Source organism: Homo sapiens, chromosome 3 (genome assembly GCF_000001405.40).
Source record: "Homo sapiens chromosome 3, GRCh38.p14 Primary Assembly".
Lineage (NCBI taxonomy): Eukaryota > Metazoa > Chordata > Mammalia > Primates > Hominidae > Homo > Homo sapiens.
The window spans coordinates 67,676,997-67,698,556 of NC_000003.12; the positions used below are offsets into that span (position 1 = coordinate 67,676,997).

At 39.4% G+C, this 21,560-nt stretch overlaps 1 long non-coding RNA gene across 2 annotated transcripts in view, besides 1 other annotated feature; it reads left to right on the top strand.

Annotated features, from left to right (window-relative positions):
* SUCLG2-DT (SUCLG2 divergent transcript) overlaps positions 1-21,560 on the top strand; it is a 293,017-nt gene that overhangs the window by 22,300 nt on the left and 249,157 nt on the right. The window lies entirely within an intron of this gene.
* Positions 1,759-1,918: a silencer, noted in NCBI's record as "silent region_14513". NCBI's record gives its function as "represses an Ori minimal core promoter by ATAC-STARR-seq in GM12878 lymphoblastoid cells {active_cell/tissue: GM12878}" and the evidence as "EXISTENCE:reporter gene assay evidence [ECO:0000049][PMID:35858748]".

A 21,560-nucleotide genomic window follows, 5' to 3' on the forward strand; every position in this document is an offset into this window, starting at 1 on the left:
TGTCCCTTTGGTGAACCTGGTTTCCATGTGGGATGAAGGTTGAAGTTGATGAGTTAGTGAGGTGAGGTTGACTTGATGGTTGGTAGTGAGGTGAGGTGAGGTTGAGTGGGATGGTAGTGAAGGTTTAGTTGATGAGTTAGCAATGTTTAGTGAGAGTGATGGTTAATTTTATGTGTCCACTTGACTGGGCTACGAGGTGCCCAGATATTTGGTGAAATATTATTTCTTGGTGTATCTGTGAGGGTATTTCTAGATGATACTGACATTTGAATTGGTGGACTGAGTAAAGCAGATTGCCCTCATTAGTGTGGGCAGGCTTCATCAAATCTGTTGAGAAGGCCTAATAAAATAAAAGGCTGCAGCAGAAAAAATTCTCCTTCTCTGTCTGTTTTCAAACTGGAACATCAGTCTCCTGTTGCTTTTGGTCTTGGGTCTCCAACTTGCCTATTGCAGATCTTTGAATTTTCAGTCTCCGTAATCATGCAAGCCAATTCCTTATAGTAAATCTATATCTATAGTTGTATCTCTTATTGGTTCTATTTCTCTGGAGAACCTAGACTAATACAGCTGGGTTCACAGTGACAGAGAGTGGTAGGCACCTGGAGTCATGAGTGGGCTACTCAGATAGGTCCTCACATTGTGATATTTATCCTGGGGAATTATCACAGCCAAGGCACTTCCCTTCTCATCCTTACCGATTATGAAATTCACGCTATCAATGTCCCAGAATTGATGAACGATTCCTTCCAAAAACACTAAAAGAAGGAAATCAAAGTGCCCACAATTTACAATGATAAACACAAGAGTTGGATACACCATCTTTGAGTGGGTCTTATTGGGCCATCTTCCCCTTACAAAACATCACATTTGTGATGTTTTAGATATGGGTGGTAAGAAAGAAGGGCACATCCTAAACAACATCTAGGTTTCTGACATGTTAATAGAATGGTTGATTCACAGTGGCCATTCCTGAGAAAGGATCTCAGTTAAGTGGAGAAAGATCATTAGTTAAGTCATGCTGAACTTGAGATGCTTTTGAAACATCCAAAAAAAAAAGGAGCTGTTGAGATCTGCCTGGGCAACAAAGTGAGACCCTGTGTCTACAAAAAATAAAAAAGTTAGCTGAGCATGCATACCTGTCATCCTAGCTACACTGGAGGCTGAGGCAGAAGGGTTGATTGAGCCTAGCAGTTTGAGGATGCAGTAAGCTGTGTTCACACCACTTCACTTCAGCCTGTGTGACAGAACAAGACCCTGTCTCAGAACAACAACAACAACCAAAAAAAAAAAACTGTTAAAATTAAATATGTATTAAATATGTGGTCTCTCCCAGGCTGAGCATATATATATATATACATACATACATACATACATATATATGTGTGTGTGTGTGTGTGTGTGTGTGTGTGTGTGCACGCTCCATCTGCATAAAGATAATAATTGAACCTATGATCATGAATGAGATTATCCAAGGAGGGGGATCAAAAGAGAGGCCCTAAGATTCCTGAGGAATTGCTATGGCTAATGGGCTGGTAAAGGAGGATAAGCCTGAAAAGAAGACAAGAACCTTTTGTAAAAGCATAAGAAGATAGAGTTTGAGTTCCTACTTGAAGGATAATTAAGCTTCTGACTATAGATATCAGTAGGAAGGACATTCAGGGATAGAGGGAAGATAATGAACTAAATCATTCAGGGCAAAGTGAGCAGGGCAGATGAAGGCAAGGGCAAGTTACATAGTTTGATTGTTGAGGCTGAGAAAGAGAGAACTAAAAAAGGAGATAATTGCCTTATGACAAGCAGTCTGAAATGCTATTGTACAGATTTGTATTCATCCAGCAGACTTGTGGTTTTGAAACTCAGGAGGCCAGGTGTTAGTGCTCTGCACCTCCTGCCCACACATCACTGTGGCACCTTTGCTGCTATCTTTTCATGTGTGGCTAACATAGTATTTTGAGACATGAAGTTGTTATCTATAGAGTCACAGATATGAATCTATATTATGTTTCCTCTGTGTATTTCCTTCAGCTCAAATAAGAATATGCTGTATACAGTCATGGCCTGTTTTGTTTTTCCATAGTGAAGGCCACAGGTTGGAAACTCAAATTACCTAGAAGGATGAGACAGGGAACGTAAACAGGTGAAGTGGACTGGGTGCAAGAGAACCAGGAGATGATGAGGTCTGTAGTAAACTGAAGAGCCACTTTTCTTCTTTAAAGGATTCAAATCTAACTTAAACAACAAAACCAAACACTGTGCAAGCCACACAATGCCTGTCTGTGCGCTGTAGTCAGCCCCAGGGCCACCTATTTATGACCCCTTGATGAAATTTTGGAGGAATTGGGTGAAGAAGATAATAGAAAAGTAAGAAGACTAAAACTTACAGGTATACATACCAAAATGTGCTAAAGAAGTAAAGGGGAGCATATGATTTCCTCTCCCCGTCCCCCAAGATTAGAGGTATCCCTCCACATTGTGGAGGGGTTGGAGAGACCAAAGGGAAGTTTAGAAGTGCCTGAATCCTGGGGCTGCCTGGGAGGTAGTAAAGCCTTAGGACAATGGCTGTCCATGAACAGACACAGCATGGAAGCAGCAGAGACCCTGTGCACTGGAAGGGCCAGGTGGGCAGGAAGAGTGTGGGGGTAATCGATGCTAATTCCTTGGTCCCACACATCACTGAGAAACCAGGAAAGCCTGTCTATTGTTGAGACTTTCGGCTCAGCTGAGGATCCCAGCACCATGGTTCAACCCTGGGAATGTGGGAGAGGTCACGAATTAGACTGAGATTTTCTTCCCTCCTAAAAAAAAAAAAAAAAAAAAAAAAGAGGAACAATCAGAAATTAAGCTGTTATTTTAAAAATACAAATACAGATATATGACAAATTTTACCAACCTGGGTCTAAGGCCCAAGATTCGTGTCTCTTATGTACATTCTGGAGTTCTACAGAAAAATTATCTGGAAATAAACTGAATTCACTGCTGTGAGTGACCAATTACCCCTATTTGCCACGGCTCTCTCAGTCTTTCAAACCTAAAATGCTAAAGCTGGGGAAGTTCCAAGCAAAGCAAGACAAACTGATTTCTCTATCACTGCCAATGAAGCACTAGCAAATTCCTTCCCTGAACAAGGGTAGGTTTTTGAAGAGGAGAGTGTTATGATCAGAGCTGTGTTTTGAGATCAATCTACTTGCCATGTGTATAATGAGTGGGAAGAGAAAAGAGGCCCTGAGACCAGTTCAAGTTGGGCAGTGGCTCTGATGAGAGAGAGAGGGGGTCTGGATTAGGAAAGAGGGTGTCAGAACATAGAGTAGAGGCAAGATTCAGATGATGCTGTAGTGATAAGTGGTTATGTCACCAAACTGGGGGATGTGGAGTCAGGTTTTCGTAACTAAATAAAACCTTAGCCATACTGGCTGATTTTTAGGCAGTATCTCCATCAGCCTATGCCAGTAGTTCTCAACCAAGGAGAGATATTTGGCAATGACTAGATGTTGTTGGTTATCTCAACTGGTGAATGCTACTGGTATCTCATAGGTAGAGGCCAGAGATGTGTATAAACATTGTACAACACACAGGACAGCCCCCACAAGCAAGAATTATCCATCCCTAAGCGTCAACCATGCTGAAATTGAGAAACGCTAAGCTATGTGAACCTGTATGAGAAACACATTACTATTATTATATAGAGCATATATTCTAGGTCTATGTAATGATGTATGCTCTTACAGAAAATATTTGTTGCATTAGACAATGAACTTTTTCAAGTCAGATATTTTTGTCTCTGATTTTCCAAAACCTAGTACATAATAGATGCTGAAAAATTGTTCAGTGACTGAAGAACAATAGCCATCACTTTTTTGAGCTGTTACCGTGTGTCAGGAACTTCTTTATAATTGCATGCAGTGTTCATAACAACCCTTAGTGTTAGGTTTATGATCCCCTCATTTTATGAATAAAAATCTGACGATCAGAGAGGTAAGTCACTTACTATTAGGTTGATGCAAAAGTAATTGCGGTTTTTGCCATTACTTTTGCACCAACCTTGTAGTAACAAAAGGAGCCAGTACTGAAACCCTTGCATATCTGACTCTGATGTTTATTTTGCTAACCACAACACTGAACCAACTCTGTTTTAACCTGGGTCCAAATTGTATTGGCCATATTCAAATTTCCAATTACCCGAATGCTCTAATAAGGCCTTTATAAGCTTCATAAACTATCCTCTCCTCTTTATTTTTTTGTTTGTTTATTGCCACTCTCTAAACTTGCTATTGCCATATGCACATTGAGTTTATAAATGTACCACATTAGTCAGGAACATTCTTTTTTTATAGCAGAAACATTTCTAGATGTAGTCCTGGGATTTATGTGTTAATATTACCAGTTGGATAGTATATTTGATATTATTTTAGTAGATAAGAAATCCTTGATGATAACAGCGAGCAAAAATTACCACTCCTCTTCCCGTTAAAAAAAAAAATCTCATTCTATTATTTTGGGGTGAAATGTAACCCAGTGCATTTTCATTTTATTCACTGCTTATATTGTTCTCTCCGTAAATTTATTCAGGAAAGAAAAAGAAAGTTAACTGAGATGGGGAAAATTCAACAGCAATGTACGGTCAGCTCTAAAGAATGTATATTGTCGTTTACCACTGTTAGGCTGTCTGATGGTTGATTGCTTTCTGAAAGCTCTAAAAACAGGAGATCAATATGCTGCAAAAGTCTGTTTTAGCATTGCAGGAATTTTTAACCTCACTATACTGCTATCGGTACGTGGCTAGAATAGACTAATCCTGCAAATAGTTCATAGAAACCCCTCCACATTTTTTACCATCTGGCCCCAACCTAACTTTTCCATCTCATCTTCTGTCTCCATCTACACTCCTGTCTCACAAGATCAAATATCATTGACTGAATGTGCCCTAAATATCCACCTACCTGGATGTTCAGGTCTTTTGGTCTAAAGTGTTCTACTCTCCTAGGTGAAGACCAGTTAGTTCTTCGAAGCCAAATTCAAATACCACACCAAATATGAGGCCTTTCCTCACCTGGTTCTCTCTAACCAGCAATCGTTCACTCACTCGTTCAACACACTTTTATTGAGCCCTATGTCAGGTACTCTTGAGAAAGTGGCAAATAAAACAGATATGGTTGCAACCCTCCTTGAGCTTATGGCCAACAGCAACCCAGAAACATTAATTACTGACTTTCCTGGATTCCCACACTGTTGCTTTTTGTCTCTATTTATGTTCTATCATATCTTTATTATTTTTTATCATGGGCCTACCCCTGAGCATCATAAACCATTCTGTGTCTTATTAATCTTTGCATTTTCTCAGTCCCATCCAAACCTGTCACATAGTAGACACTCAGTAGACTTCTGTGCAGTAGGATTAGATTTTCTATGCGATACCTGAAATAGTACAATAAGTCAATTACATAATTCTATGGTTCCACTTTAACTAATTTATTTATTTTTCATTTTTTTGAGACATGGTCTTGCTCTGTCACTGAGGCTGCAGTGCAGTGGCATCAACCTGGCTCACTGCAGCCTTGACCTCCTGGACTCAAGCAATCCTCTCACCTCGGCCTCCAAAGTAGCTGGGACCACAGGTGTGTGCCACCACACCTGGCTAATTTTTAAAATTTTGTAGAGAAGAGGTTATGTTACCATATGTTACCAGGCTGGTCTTAAACTCCTAGGCTCAAGTGATCCTCCCACCTCAGTCTCCAAAAGCACTGGGATTATAGGTAGGAGCCACCATGCCTGGCCAACTTTTATTTTTCTAATACTGGTCTCTCTTTTCTCTTTGACTGTTGCCCTGGATTTAAGCAGAAAAATAAGCAAATAGTTTTGTCTATTCAAGGTCCCTTGTTTTTTTCTGATTTAAAATGCCCTAAAATTTAAACTTGATTTATTCTAATCTGTGCTACTCAATACACGTGGCCACTGATCACCTGAAATGTGATTAGTCTGAATTGATCTTTGCTGTAAATGAAATCCAATGGAATATGCACTGGATTTTAAAGACGTAAAATATCTGATTAGTACTTTTGTATTGATTATATATTAAAATTATAGAATTTTGATTATATTGGGTTAAATAAACTATAGTATTAAAATTTTTACCTGTTTAATTTTGCATTCTCAAATGTGGTTACCAGAAGGTTTTTAATTGTATGCATGGCTTTCATGATGTTTCTATTGGACAGAGCTGCTCTAGATGCTTGTCCTTCCCCTTCTCTGGCTCTTCTTCCCCGAGCAGTTGCTATAAGGGGGATCCTATCTCATTCTGGTATTTGGGGTGACAGTCCTTAATGCTGGCTTTGCCTGTAGCTAGCTTGTTGCACTTTGGAGTCCAAAGGTCATATCTGCTAGGCACATAGGAAGACAAAAGGGTCTAGATTCTTGGCCTTTTTTTTTTTTTTTTTTTTTTTGTCTCCCTTAAGACTATACCTGTTAGCAGGGCTTTCCACTTTCCTTCCTGGAAATATCTGGTTGTGTATCACTTCTGTCTCCATCTCTGCAGCAATTGGTCTCAGCTTCTTAGCCCAATCTTCATGGCAGAAGAGCTGTAAATGGGGAAAGCAACTTCCTCCCAAGAAGCAAAATGCAGTTTGATATTTCAAACTGTCATTTCCTTCATATATGTTGATTGCTTGAGTGAAAAACTCAAAACATTGAGCCATAGCTTGAGTTCATCACATGGGAAATAAAACTTAGTTTCTGTCAAAGTCTCACTCACTTTCAAGGCCAGAGGAGTTTTCAAAGAGGATGCTGCAATAAGCCTCACAAGAACATAGGCTTTCTTGTAAACCACTCAATGGGTAAATGTTAGTTTTGCAGACCCAGAGTAGTCCCTTAGTAAACCCAGCCATTTATAATTTCCCCAGGATTTAAAATCTCAAGCTGTGAGAATTCTCAGTTTTCACTTGTGACAGGACAGAATGGAAAGATTCCCTCTATGACTACTGGTTCTATATATTTCATGCCACTCTGGGCTCCAGTTTACATTCTAATTTAACAATTCAGTGTGCAAAATTTCCTTCTTTTAATACCCTACCTATCACTAGGTTGTAGCTTCAAATAGGCCATCATTATCAAAGCTTCTTGGTGAATCCCTTTGAAAATATTGTTAAGCAGTCGCCATTCTATTTTATAAAATGTCAAATGATTGTCCATGGATGCTTACTCTGCCCTTGCAATGACTAATCTGTATAATCTGTAGTCCTATCAATGAGCTGTTTTTCTCCTCCCGGGCCCTGTTGTTGTTCATCCTATTTCCCTCCCTGGCAAATGTGACAGTTGTAGCTGTTGTTATTTTTCTCAAATGAGTTTAAATTGTGAATTACATCAGTTCGTCACAGCCAAAGCAAACCTCTTTTTAATTGCAGATCTCAAATGTCCCCCCTCTAAATTAAAATAAAATGCACAAAATGCTGCCAACTGTTTTTCCGACTCTTCCAAAATGGAGTATATCCAAAATGCTACTGATGGATTGAGCCACATTAAGACATATAAACATTTAAAATCACTTACAACTTTTTTGCTGTTAGGGGAAAATGTTCACATTTTAGTTGTGGGGGTTGCCTGTGAGGATGAATGTGAGTCTGTTGATTGCCATTTGTGTCCCTTTGAAGTAAAAAAGAGTTTTGCCAATTTTCAATAATTCACCATGGAGATTTCTGTGGGTTTGTAGTCAGATATAAGTGGCTGCATTGCCTTTGAGAAAGGACATTGAGGATGTCCATTTTAATAGCTGTGTAACCTTGGGCTTGTCCTTTAACTTCTGTGAACTTCATCATCATCATTCATAGACTTTGAATGGCGATATATGCCTTGCAGAATTTGGGGAATAATTATAAATAATGAATGTAAAGTACTTGACTTGAATAGGTGCTCAACAATGAAGCTGTTATCAAGATCCACAGAGTGACAGCATCCAAATGTCACACGATAAGCAGACCCCTGAGCCTTTTGGGTTTCATGAACCAAAATAATTTCAAATATTTTTGTTTTTAAATTAAATTTAGTTTTTAATATTTGTATGGATTCAGAGGGTACCCGAGCAGTTTTGTTATGTGGGTATATTTGTTCAGTGGCAAAGTCTGGGCTCTTAGTGTACCCATCACCCAAGCAGTGAACATTGTACCCAATTTCAATTTTTTTTTAATGGAACTGATATAAAGTTGACAAAATTTACTTTTATTTTCTTAAGTGAAGGCAACAAAGAAGCAAAGCCAACTAAATTCTCATCATTCTTGCAAAAGAAAGAAATTTAGCAACAACAACAAAAAGGGAAGGACAAAATCTGAGAAAATAATATAACCCTTTAAATTAAATAAATGTAGATTCATGACAAAAGTTTTAAATTTTTCATTTCAGCATGAACGAAAAAAAATCATCCATATTGTTGAGCTGCTGAATACCCAGGAAAGGCTGGAACCCATTTCTTTGTTCATGTGTTTGTCCAAATCCTGTGTTTCTCTCCATTGACTCTTGTTTTCTGAATGACCAACATATTAGAGCCATATCTTATAAGGGAAATGGGATGATGGTGAGCTTCTTTTTCCCATGGAGGCTAAGTTTAAATTATTTTCTTTCAGACGCACCCTGCCAGGCTCTGTTGCTTTCTGATCTATTTTCAGTGGCTCTTCATCTGACCTGAAAACATGCATGGGTGCTTGTTCACTGATGTTCCCATCTGTACAGATCTGCTCATAGTCTCAGATTTAACAAGCCTTATTTTATCACTTTCATTTTCACTTCCTATTTGCAGAATATCACAAGTGAACTCCCTGAAGATTCTATAATCTTTGGTTTTGTTTACTATTTCTTTAGAAATGATGGTGGCCCCAGATATTTGTTTCTCCTCTATGGCTTGAAATGATCCATTTCTTAATTTTTAAGGATGTAAATCCTTCAAAGTTGGACATTTGGTTCAACATATGTATCAAGAGCCAAAGAATGCATTCTGTAACCATATGTGATTGTGTTCCATAAGAAAGGAAGACTGAGGAAGAATGTCATATTGTTATAGAATTAGAATTTGGAATTTAAAGTTAGACTTATAAACAATAGACCAAGACCTTCCGCTTTAGACTGGAAAATTGTCTAAGGAGGAAAAAGACCTGCCAACAGTCACGTAGATATTAGACCAGGGATAGATGATGACGTGATTTGGCTGTGTCCCTACCCAAACTCATCTTGATTTGTAGTACCCATAATCCCCGTATGTCATAGGAGGGGCCAGATGGAGATAATTGCATCATGGGGGCTGTTTTCCCCATCCTGTTCTTGTGATAGTGAGTTAGTTAGCGAGTTAGTTCTCACGAGATCTGATGGTTTTATAAGGGGCTTTTCCCCTTTTGCTTGGCACTTCTTCTTGCTGCTGCCACGTGAAGAAGGACGTGTTTGCTTCCCCTTGATTGTAACATATAGTAAGTTTCCTGAGGCTTCCCCAATCATGCTGAACTGTGAGCCAATTAAACCTCTTTCCTTTATAAATTACCCAGTCTGGGCTATGTCTTTATTACTATGCAGCATGAGAATAGACTAATACAGATGACTATAGAACTATATTGTGAAGGATATTATATTACTGATTGAGCTGTTACAGAATGTTTCCTATTCTATCATTACTTAACTAGTAATGTGCTTAGGGTTTTGGGTTATGACTTATCTATGATGTATGTGTGACTGTCATGAAATTTAAAGACATGAAATGCTTGTAAACTGAAATAATAATTATAGGACACAGTCAAGAAGAGAAATAGCCACAGAGGCATAAATATTCCATTTGTACCCTGAACCCAATTTCTGGTTAGATTTTAAGCATATTCACTCCATGGGGAGATAGTACCCAGAAATGGCTGCTTCAGTGCCAAAAATACTAGAGTTTGAACCCTGGCTCAAAAAATTATTTTTTGTATGAACTTCAACGATTGCTTAACCTCTTTAAGTTTTAGTTTCTAATTTCTAAAATAGCAATGCCAACCTCAGAATTTTTTTTTACAGAAGCTAGTATTGTGATAATAAACAAGTAGAATGTATTCATTCATTGAAGTAAGATTATATCTTGAAGGTTACTGCTCTGAATAATGTTTTCATTAACAAGATATTAACAGAGCTTTTGAAGGTCAAAGTTAGGTGATCATATATGACAAAATTACAGGGAAAATTACGTTAAAATTTGAACAAAATGAAATATGTGGTGAAGCCGTATAGCATGGTTCATGGCATCATGTATAATGATATATGGTAATAATGGTATATGACAGGGATCAGGAATCTACAACCTAAGGGCCCACTACCAGTTTGTGTAAATAAAGTTTTATTGGAACACTGCTATGCCCATTTATTTACATATTGTCTATAAATATGCTGCTTTTGTGCTACAACACTAGAGTTGAATAGTTGTGACAGAGATTATATGGCCCACAAAGTCTAAAGTACTTACAATCTGGACTTTTGCAGAAAATGTTTGACAATTTCTGGTATATAATGATGCTGATACTATGGGTTCTTTTTCTCTCTCACTGAGAAAGCAGCACAGCACCAAGCATCCTTTATATTTCCTTAGCATTGACTGCAGTGCCTTGCTCTGCATTCTGCACATGTTAAGCAATCTACACATTCTATGGTGTGCTTTGCTGTCAATTTCCTATAACTTTAATAAAAATAAATTATTACATAGGATAGTGCTATGGTTTGAATATTTGTCTCCTCCAAAATTCATGTTGAAATTTAATCCCCAATGCGGTATCATTGAGAAGTAAGGACTTTAAGAAGGGATTGGGTCATGAAGGTGTTGCCCTCATGAATGGATTAATGTATTCATGAATTCATAGATTCATGCGTTAATGGATTAATGAATTATTAAGTGAGTGGGAGTGGTGGCTTTATAAGATGAGGAAGAGAGATCTGAGGTAGCACACTCAGCTCCCTCACCATGTGATGCCCTACATTGCCTTGGGACTCTGCAGAGAGTCCCAGCTAGCAAGAAGGCACTCATCAGATGCCGTCCCTTGACTCCAGACTTCTCAGCCTCCATATCTGTAAGAAATAAATTCCTTTCTTTATAAATTACCTAGGTTTAGGTATTCTGTTATAAGCAACAAAACAATGGGTAAGACAGATAGTTAAGGTGGACAAAGTATCTTCCAGCATGGGTGTTGTGAAGAGCTATTTCCATTCCTAAAATCTGGTTCACGAAACACTTATCCTAGCACAGACCTTTTGGGTTTAGTTCAGTGATTCTCAAACTTGAACATACAACAGAATTTCCTGCTGGTCTGGAAAAAACACATAGTTGGGTCCATCCCTAGATATATGATTCAATAGAGGCAGTGTAGGGCCTGAGAATTTGCATTTGTAGCAATTTCCCAGTGATGCTGATGCTGGTGGTTCATGAATCACCTTTGGGGACTTCCACATCTGGACTGCGCAGATTGATAGAATCGTAACCTCCACAAGGGGCTAGACATATGTAATTTATGCATTTAAGTATATCCAGCTTCTATCACAGGGCCTGGCCCATGTTTACCCAGCACTCAATACATATCTGTCAAGTGGATGAATAAAAAGCCACTGCCTGCTTGGCTGCCAACCTGGTAGGTGAGAGACTTGGTTTGAAAGCTCTGCCTTTGGTTGTGCCAATGACTGGGAAAAAATATCTAGAAACTTAAGAAAATCTACATGGAACTCCTTGTGGTATGCTCTGAAATACAGACTATAGAGGAAATATTTTAGTGGCTCTACAGGATACATGGTCTCTGTTGCACCTACTGAATTCTGCTACCATAGCAAGAGAGCCACCATAGAGGATATGTAATGAATGGGTATGGTTGTGCTCAAAGCAGGCATTGAGCCAGATTGTTTGCTGACTTCTCTGTTAAACCATGAATTTTAAATGATTGCATAGTATAGATGGTACATACATGGACACATGTACCATCATTGCCCTTTAATAAATTTTATTGCATTATAATATACATATAGAGAATTGTATTTATTGTCTGTTGCAGTTTGATGAATTTTGTCAACTGGATATATCCGTGACAGTACCCAGGGTGTAATTGCCTTTTGGTAGATCGGAATTGTTTCTAATTTGGGACTTTTACTAATGAAGCTATTATGAGCATAGTACCTGATATACTTTATTTTATTACTATATCTGCACATTGGTTGTATTAGTTTTCTGTTCCTTCTATAATAAATTACCATGTACTTGGTGGCTTCAATAAATACAAATTTATTATCTTACAGTTTTGCAAGTCTGAAACCTGGGTTAAAGCCAAGATGTTGGCAGGGCTGTGGTCTTTTCTGGAGGCTGTCAGGGAGAATCTGTTTCCATGCCTTTTCCAGCTTCTAGAGGACACCAACATTCCATGGCTTATGGCTCTTTTTTTCCAACTTCAAAGCCAATAACCTTGCTTCTCTCTGATCATGCTTCCATAGTCACATCTCTCTGAACCACAGGAAAAATTCTTTGATTTTAAGGACTCATGAGATTGAATTGGACCTATTGGAGAATCCAAGATTTTCTACCCTCGTCAAGATTCTTAATATAATCACACTTGCCTTTTGTCTCATAATGTATTTACAGGTTCTGAGGACTAAGGTGTGAATATTTGATGGGCGGGGTTGGATATTAGTCTGCCTAGCATGTTGGTTATATGAATTAATCAACGAAGACTACTCTAGTTTGTAGGAAAGCTGAGTTCCAAGATTTTTGCCAAATTTGCTTTTTCAAATTTTTGGAACAATAAAAAAATATGCAGTAGCATAATCAGTTAGCTAACATAGATGATCTGAATAATAGATACCCTGGTAATGAAAATATATATTAAGGTACCATTTACTCTTTCAGTGTAATGAAACAAAACCCAGCCTACTCAGGTAGAGCATAAGCTGTATGCTATGTAGAACTCTAACAGAAGACATTCTTTAGATTGCTATCTATCTGTTGACCAACACACTCTCTGACAATAACTCCTTTATGTCCTCTCCTTTCACTTGACAATCTCTTTTGCACTCTTTGCCTTGTCATCACACATCATTTTTCATGTGATCGTTTGTTGGAGACTCATATACAGATGCTCTGTCTGGTCTCTAATGGGGCAAAAACACACAGGACAGAAACACACAGCCTGGGTGTATTTTCTACTCTGAGATCACAAGCCTGAACATTGTCATCTTTTTGAACATCTTCCCAAGGGATAGTGCAAAGGGAAAAAGGGCAGAGTTTCTCAAGTGTAAGAACTAATTTCAAAAACTGTGCAAGGGTCTTTAGAGAGCTGTCGGTTAGAGACCCACTCCCCAACCAAGATCACTCTAAATGGAAAGACAATGAATGGAAGTGCATTCAGAGAATGCAGCCTGACCTTCTGGGGTACTAAGGGGCCTTGTAGGAGGGATGGCTCTAGAAGGTTTAGCTGTTCAGTCTAAGACAAAGAAAACCCAAAGTCGGTTAGAGGAAGGGGATAGAAGAGCTGTCTTTAAACATCTAATGAAGTATAACATGAAAAGGGGGTTTATGCTGGTTTTGGAGAAAGCTAAAGTAGCAATTTTCAAACTTCAGTTGTTCATTTGCATCGCTTGGGAAGATTCTGAATGCAGATTCCTAGTCTCCGCTTACTGAAGGTTCTGAAAGGGGGTGGGACATAAAGCCAAATTTTGAACAAAGTGCCACAGTTGATACTGATAGAGGTATTTCAAAGATGTTATATATATATATTCATCAGATATTTATTGAGCATTTTCAATATGACAGGCACTGTTACAAGAGTGAGGATATACAACTGAATAAAACATACTAGCTTCCTGTCCTCAAGGGGCTTATATTCTAGAGGGGGAAGGTAGACAATGAACAAATCCATTAAGAAAATGTATAGTATGTCAGACAGCGATAAGTGAAAAGAAAAAAAAAAAGCAGGAAAAGGAGCTAGGAAGTACTGGGGAGAGGGGTGAAGCTGATTTTTAAATAAGTGAACTTAAAGTAATTTTTTTTTTTGAGACAGTCTCACTTTGTCATCCAGGCTGGAGTGCCATGATGTGATCTCAGATCATTGCAGCATTGACCTCCTGGGCCCAAGTGATCCTCCCACCTCAGCCCCCCAAGTAGCTGGGAACAGGCATGCGCCACGATGTCTGGCTAATCTTTATAGTTTTTATAGAGATGGGGTCTCATTTTGTTGCCCAGGCTGGTCTTGAACCTAAGCTCAAGCACTCTGCCTGTCTCAACTTCCCAAAGTGCCAGGATTACAGACGGGAGCCACCACACCCAGCCAATTTTTTTTTTTTTTTTTTGAGACAAAATCTTATTTTGTCACTCTGGCTGGAGTACAGCAGCATGATCATAGCTCATTGTAGCTTCAAACTCCTGGGCTCAAGGGATTCCCCTGTCTCAGACTCCTGAGGAACTGAGAGTACAGGCACACAGCACCATGCTGAGCTAGTTTTTAATTTTTTGTAGAAATGAGGTCTCACTATGTTGCCCAGGCTGGTCTTGAACTCCTGGGCTCAAGCAATATTCTCACCTCAGCCTCCCAAAACACTGGGATTATAGTCATAAGCCACTGCATCCAGCCAGCTAATTTAAATTAAGGAACTGAATGAAGGAAGGGAGAGAATAAGATGTGTGGTTTCTGGAGGAAGAGTGTCCTATGCAGAGGGATCAGCAAGCGCAAAATAATTTCAGGAGATGTGTGCTTAAGGAGTGGTAAGATGCCAGTGTGACCTCGCAAACTGAGCAGGGAGGAGTTAGCTAGGACTATCTGTGAGGTGAGATACTCTGTTTATTCAACAGGGACATGAGGGAGGGCAGACTCCTTTAGAAAAGCAATTGATATATTTATTCTAAGAAGAAAGAACTTCGAGCTCTCTTGGGAAGTTTGCATTCAAGTGCATTGGTATGCCTGTTGTAGGGAGAATTCAAATATCTGGTTGGTGGTTGTTTGGTGGTTGAACCAAGCCACTGGTTTGCAAACCTGGCTGTGCCTCATAATCACCTGGGGAGGCAGAGGTGCACATTTGCTCTAACAGCATTTTTTTTTTTTTGTCTTTGGCTAATTATCTCTCCATGATTTGAAGTGTTGATGGTACTGATAATTGAAATACCTCTCTTTCCACGGCCAAGAAACAGAGATATAACCCAAGTCAAGTTAGTCACATTTTTTCTATTGGAATTTAATCAATTTAATCTTGACTAGAGTGACACATGCATGGATAACAGTAGGGGCCAATTCTTTTTTACTATGACTTGTGGAGAAGCCATCTTTTAAGTTTTGTTTCCCAGACTCCCATAACTCTCAGTTCTTATTCTTTCCAAGGTCTGAATTTTAAGCATTTTCTTTCATTCTGAGAGCCACACTATAAACTTCCAAAATATTTATTTTCCCCTTAAATAGGCGAGAGTTGTTTTTTACTGTTCTCACAACAACAAAAAGACAGGTCTGATACAGAGATTCACAAAAATACATATTTCCAGGTATCACTCTGATTCCATTGAATAAGATATTTGGGGACAACATTCTAGGATTTAGTATTTTGAAAGGCTTTTTAGGTAATGCTGATTCAGTTCTGGTCCTGCAAAATACAGGCTGAAAATCCTGGACTTGATGCTTCAGACATATCCCTGCCATGAGCTGCTTGCTGTGCCTTCTGGCTGATTTGGATAAAGGCGCTCCAATTCTGAGGCTGATTGTATTTCTCTCCTTCCCTCTAGTAGTCATTCTCCTCCCAACCGGGTTCATTAACTAGTGAAAACTGAAGCCAAGTGAACAAATTGTCTGGACCTCTATGTTAAGGGCCATGTGTAGATAAGAGTCAAAGGAAGGAATGTTTGCAGGAATCCCCACTCTGCCGGGGTCTGGCTTTGGGAGGTTGGGTAACAATTTCCTGTAACTTCACGTACTTGTGGAGAGCACACTTTCCAATTGTGTTTCAGGAAAACCTATGTTTTCTAAGAAAGGTACAAGGGGGCTATTGTGGTATATATGTATATGCTTATTTACTTATTTATTTTCAGTTTGTTCTATGCCTTCTGCCTCCCAATGTGAGTCCCACAAGGGCAGTGTCTTAGTCTGTTTTCTTTTGCTTTAACAGAATACCACAGACTGGGTAAATTATAAACAATGGAGGTTTAATTTGGTTCGAGGTTCTTGAGGCTAGGAAGTCCAAAAGCATGGTCCTGGCATCTGGTAAGAGTCATCCCATGGTGGAAGGTGGAGTGAGCACACAAGACAGAGAGAGGCACCAGGGGCTGAACTTACTTTAAGAGGTGGGGCCCAATCTCTTATTAAGCCCCACCTCTTAACATTGTTGCATTGGAGATTAGGTTCCCAACATGTGAATTTTGGGGAGTCACATTCAAACCATAGCAGGCAGGGACCTTTTCAATTTTGTTTCCCTCTGTATGCTCAGATTCTAGAATAGTTTCTAGCTCTTAGGAAGCTTTCATTAAGTAGTTTTAGAGTGAATTAATTTTTAAAACATCAGACCTTTACAGAGGTTTTACCAATGGTTCTGTTATTAAATATTATTTTGAAAGCCTCTCCACTATAGCAGTATTGTTCAAACCCAGTGCTACAGACAAGCTACATCAGAATTACCCAAGGAACTTAAGATGTAGTTTCCTGAGATGTTCCTGAAGGGGTTGTTTCAGTGAGCCTGGAGATTCATATGGTATGTTTATGATTATTACTATTATGATTGATGTTATTACTGTAGTGATGGCTGTTTTGAATTTGCAAGGTTTAAATGCACTTGACTAGATGATTGCCAAAGTCTCTCCCTGCACTGACATCCTAACAGGATGGTTCTGGTGAGAAAAATAAGCTCGGACTTCACCTAAGTGGCCCTGAAATTCCTTCCTTTCAAAATTTGGCTCTCTTCACAAGGAGTTGCTATATTGCCTCAGAGGATTTTGCTTCCTTGCTTTAGGGATGGGGAAAAGAAATCCCCTGAAATAATTTCAGGGCTTTGGGATTAAAAAAAAAAAAAAGGCAAGCAGAAGGGGGCAACTTCATATTCCTCTTGGGACTCTGGGATTTCTCCAAGATAGTAGGAGTTCTTGTTTATTAAAATGTCTTAGGTATGCTTCTCTTTTGTGGCAGGCACTATCGATTAGGCAGCAAAGAAGGTAGACAGATTTTCTGCTCCACAGAGCTTACAGTCTTGTGGAGGAGACGGATGTTAGATAAACAATGGCATAAATAGGGATTTAAATAACCATCAAGACCAATTCCTTATTTGGGAATATAGCAGTTGAAAAGGTGGAATTAAGTATTTATTCTTAGTGGTTCTTATATGAACTATATTTTAAAATAACCAAAAAGCCCAAGGTGATCAAGGAAAGTTTAGTTTTGTGTGTGAAAAAATTCTTACCAAGAAAGGAGAAAGGAGTGATAGAATCCACAAATCACTATTTTATTTCCCTTAAATAAATAATGAATGCAGGCTACACTCATCAATGAATGGAGCCATTAAAAGGAAAGTTTGTGGGGAAATTGGCAATGAAGGAGTTAGGCTATTACATTCCTACTGTTACCTAGCATTTATTGTCTCAGTATTCTGGAGGCCAGAAGTCCAATATCTGGCAGCACTGTGCTCCCTCCAGGGATTTTAGGGGAAAATTCGTTTCTTGCCTCTTCTAGATTCTTGGTTGCTGCCCTAGTGTTTCTTGGCTTGTGGCTACATCACCGCAGTCTCTGTCTTCATCTTCATAAGACCTCTGTGTTTCTCTTTCAAACTCTCTCTGCCTCTGTCCTGTGAGAATACATATGATTGCACATACAATCCACCAAGATATCTAGGGTAAATTCCTCTTCTTAAGATGCTCAAGTGAATCACATCTTTTGCCATGTAAGGTAATATTCATATCTGAGGATTGGGATGTGGACATATCTTTCTGAGGGGCGCCATTCACTCCACCACATGTGTCTTCCAGTGGGATGCACTGTGAAGTACATAGCCTCATTTGCAATCTTTCCTTGACAGAAAAGCTTTTCTGTGTTTAACCAGACCGTTGGAGCTTATAATCATTTATAGAAAATATTGGAGATAGAGAAATAAATGAAATAATCCAGGCTTAGTGGCTAGCTCCTGTAATCCTAGGGCTCTAGGAGGCCAAAGCAGGAGGATCACTTGAGGCCAGCCTGGGCAAACTAGAAAGACGCAATCTCTAAAAAATTTAAATTTAAATTTAAAAAAGAGCAAGAGAAAGTGAAATGACTTTCTAATCAGGTAAACACAAAATATGGAATGTTCCATAGGATAATTGACTTTTTTTTTGTGCTAATCAATGGCATGGAACAAGGTGAAAGTGGGCTGTTCTAGATTACAAGATTTAAAGACACAGCAACCAAGTTTTCTTGTGGACCCTGTATGAGTACTTATTAGACCAAACTAGCTCTAAAAAGACATCTTTGAAATGATAGAGTAATTTGATTTAGAACTGGGTGTGAGTTGGTACTTAGGAATTGGAATGAATTTGATTAGCAGTGACAATAACATTGTAGTTGTGTCAAGTACTTCTTGTGTCCTGTGTCACATCCTCTCAGTCCACCTTTTCACCCCAGCTGTTGCGGCTACCCCTAGTGTTGCCCAGGTAAAGCCTGATAGCACCTCCCCTAAACTTCACCACATGCCTTTCTTTCTCCTCTGGGTGCCTCTGTTCCCCTATGGGACACCTGTGGTAACTGTTCCAGCTATTCTGTCTCTTTCTGAAGCATTCCATTGCCAATCTGGGAGTGTAAGAGTTAATGCTCCGTGGGGTGATTCCTGACCAGTGGGTAGGAGAATCAGTGGATAAATACTTCCCATTGTGGTCACTCAATAAATGATCTAAATTGCATTCTACAGCTCCTCTGAGAGTCCTCAGCAGAACCCAGCCCCATGTGCCCACGGAATTAGTTCTCTGAGAATGCATAATGCATCATCCTTGGGTAGGCTTTCCCTCCTTCCCTGTTTCAGTCTTCTCAGCCCCACACTCCTTGGGATCACTTCCCAAAATAACAACTTACATACAAGCCCCTGTTTCCAGCTCTACTTTTAGGGGGACCCAGGCTGAGATAGTGTTTTTTTTAAAAAAAAAACTCTCAGGCTGGGTGTGGTGGCTCATGCCTGTAATCTCAGTACTTTGCGAGGCTGAGGTGGGTGGATCACCTTAGGTCAGGAGTTAGAGAAAAGACTGGCCAACATGGTGAAAACTTATCTAAAAATACAAAGATTAGCCGGGAGTGGTGGTACATGCCTGTAGTCCCAGCTGTTCGGGAGACTGAGACAGGAGAATCACTTGAACCCAGGAGGCGGAGGTTGCAGTGAGCCAAGATTGCACCACTGCACTGCGGCCTGGTTCCAGCCTGAGTGACAGAGTGAGACTCTCAAAAATAATAATAATAATAATAATTTTTAAAAAATAGCTGATTTTTTTTTTTTTTTGAGATGGAGTCTCACTCTTGTTGCCCAGGCTGGAGTGCAATGGTGCGACGTTGGCTCACCACAACCTCCACCTTCCGGGTTCAAGTGATTATCCTGCCTCAGCCTCCTGAGTAGCTGGGATTACAGATATGCGCCACCATGCCTGGCTAATTTTTGTATGTTTAGTAGAGACAGGGTTTCTCCATGTTGGTCAGGCTGGTCTCGAACTCCTAACCTCAGGTGATCTGCCTGCCTCGGCCTCTCAAAGTGCTTGGATTACAGGCGTGAGCCACCGCGACTGGTCAGCTGATTATTTTTAAGACATGCATATTGAAGTAATTAGACATGAAATGGCATGATGCCTGGGTTTTGCTTTAAGTATTTCACTAATATCAAAGAAGAAAGAGAAGAAAGAGCTAGATGAAACAAATGTAAATTTATGACGACTGTTGAATCTGGGTGTTGAGTACATGGGAGAATGTTATTGATTATTTTATAATTTGCTATAACAAAACATTTAAAAGGTTAAAAGTATTACAAGGTCTGTGAAATAGAGGAACAGACTACTCTGAAAGTACATGCTAGAGGACCTAGTCTAGGTGGGAGATCGAAAAAGACTTGTCTGATGAAATGGCTTTTAAGCTGTGGCTGAAAGGATGAAATGGATTTTTCAGACCCTTTCTCCTAAGGTACTTAAGGTACCTTCGTGAATCCGGCCATAGTTTTAGAATTACTTCTGCACTCTCTTGCTTAGAACATAGGATCCTAAGCCTGCCACCCAGGGCCTTCCAGGGCTGGCTCTCTTTACTGCTTTTAAATGGCTCATTTCCCCTGTATTGAGTATCTGCTCTGGGTGGCAAATCATTTTGTGTGAAATATATTCATTCACCTGTAGACACCTTACCATATCTCCAAGTGACTCTTTGAAATCTGACTATTTCTTTTATTTGTTGTGAATGATAGAGAGGAAATAGGAGGGCTATTTTAGGGTGGTCCAAAGTTGAATGAACTGCCTGGTAAATGTGACTGAATAACTAGCTTCCTTGCTATTTGCGACATCAGAATGCTTAGATCTATTTGATGCCAGCGGACTCAAGCCAGGTCCTCTGTGCTGTCATTTTTGTGCTGTAAATGAAGCTGTGGGGAGAAACATTTCCCCTATTAGAGCACATTCATCCTCTATGCCCAACAGACGAAAGAGGATTTCATAGCTGTATAGCTGACTGGGCGAGGAAAATGCATTTTGCCTATAATTCAGTAAACAACCAGTCAAGTCAGTCTTTTAAATTTGATTTGCTTTGTAATGCCTTATTTACAGCAGTTTTCTCCACTGGTATTGACATTTAATTCCCAATGCTTATTGATACTTACCTTTACTATCATGCAGTATTACCTTGCATGTTTAACTTGCTTTGTGTACCACAAAGGGCTTTCATAACCATATCTCATTTAGCCCTCATAGCAACCTTGTGATGTTTTTTCTTTCTTTCCTTCCCTTTCTTTTCCTCTACTTTTTTTCTCCCTTCCTCCCATCCATCTTCCTTGCCTCCCACTCGTTCCTCACTGCCTTGCCTTCTCTCCTTTTCCATTTCCTTTTCTTTCTTTCCTTTCATTCCATCATTCATTATTCTTTCTGTCCCTGTCTCCTTCCTTTGCCCCCTCCCTTCCTACCTTTCTTAATTGTAGCAAATATTTTTTAAAGTTTCGTTTGCAAGTTTGATAGCTTGAGTTCAAATCCTGGTTGTGTCATTCCCTATCTGTATGACCTTAGGTAAGTTACTTGAGCTTTAAGCTTGAATTTGCCCATTCATAAAATGAGCATCATAATAATGCACTTTCACAATGCAGTGAGTGCTTGTTTGTTTACTGGGTTCAGTCTCTGGCAGATGGAAAGCAATCAAAACTGTTTTCTATTATTGTTATTCCCATTACTTATTACACTGTTCAGATACAGCAATGACTGTGACCAATGTAATTAACAAGCCCATGGAGTTTTTAATAGGCCTGTCAAGAAAACTGAGGCATGCAGCTAGTAAGTGGCAGAACCAAGGTTTCAATTTGGACCTTGTTTTCAAGGTAAGAGCCTTCTTCGCTACTCTGCTTAATGCTTTAGACAAAAAATTATCAATAACTCAGAG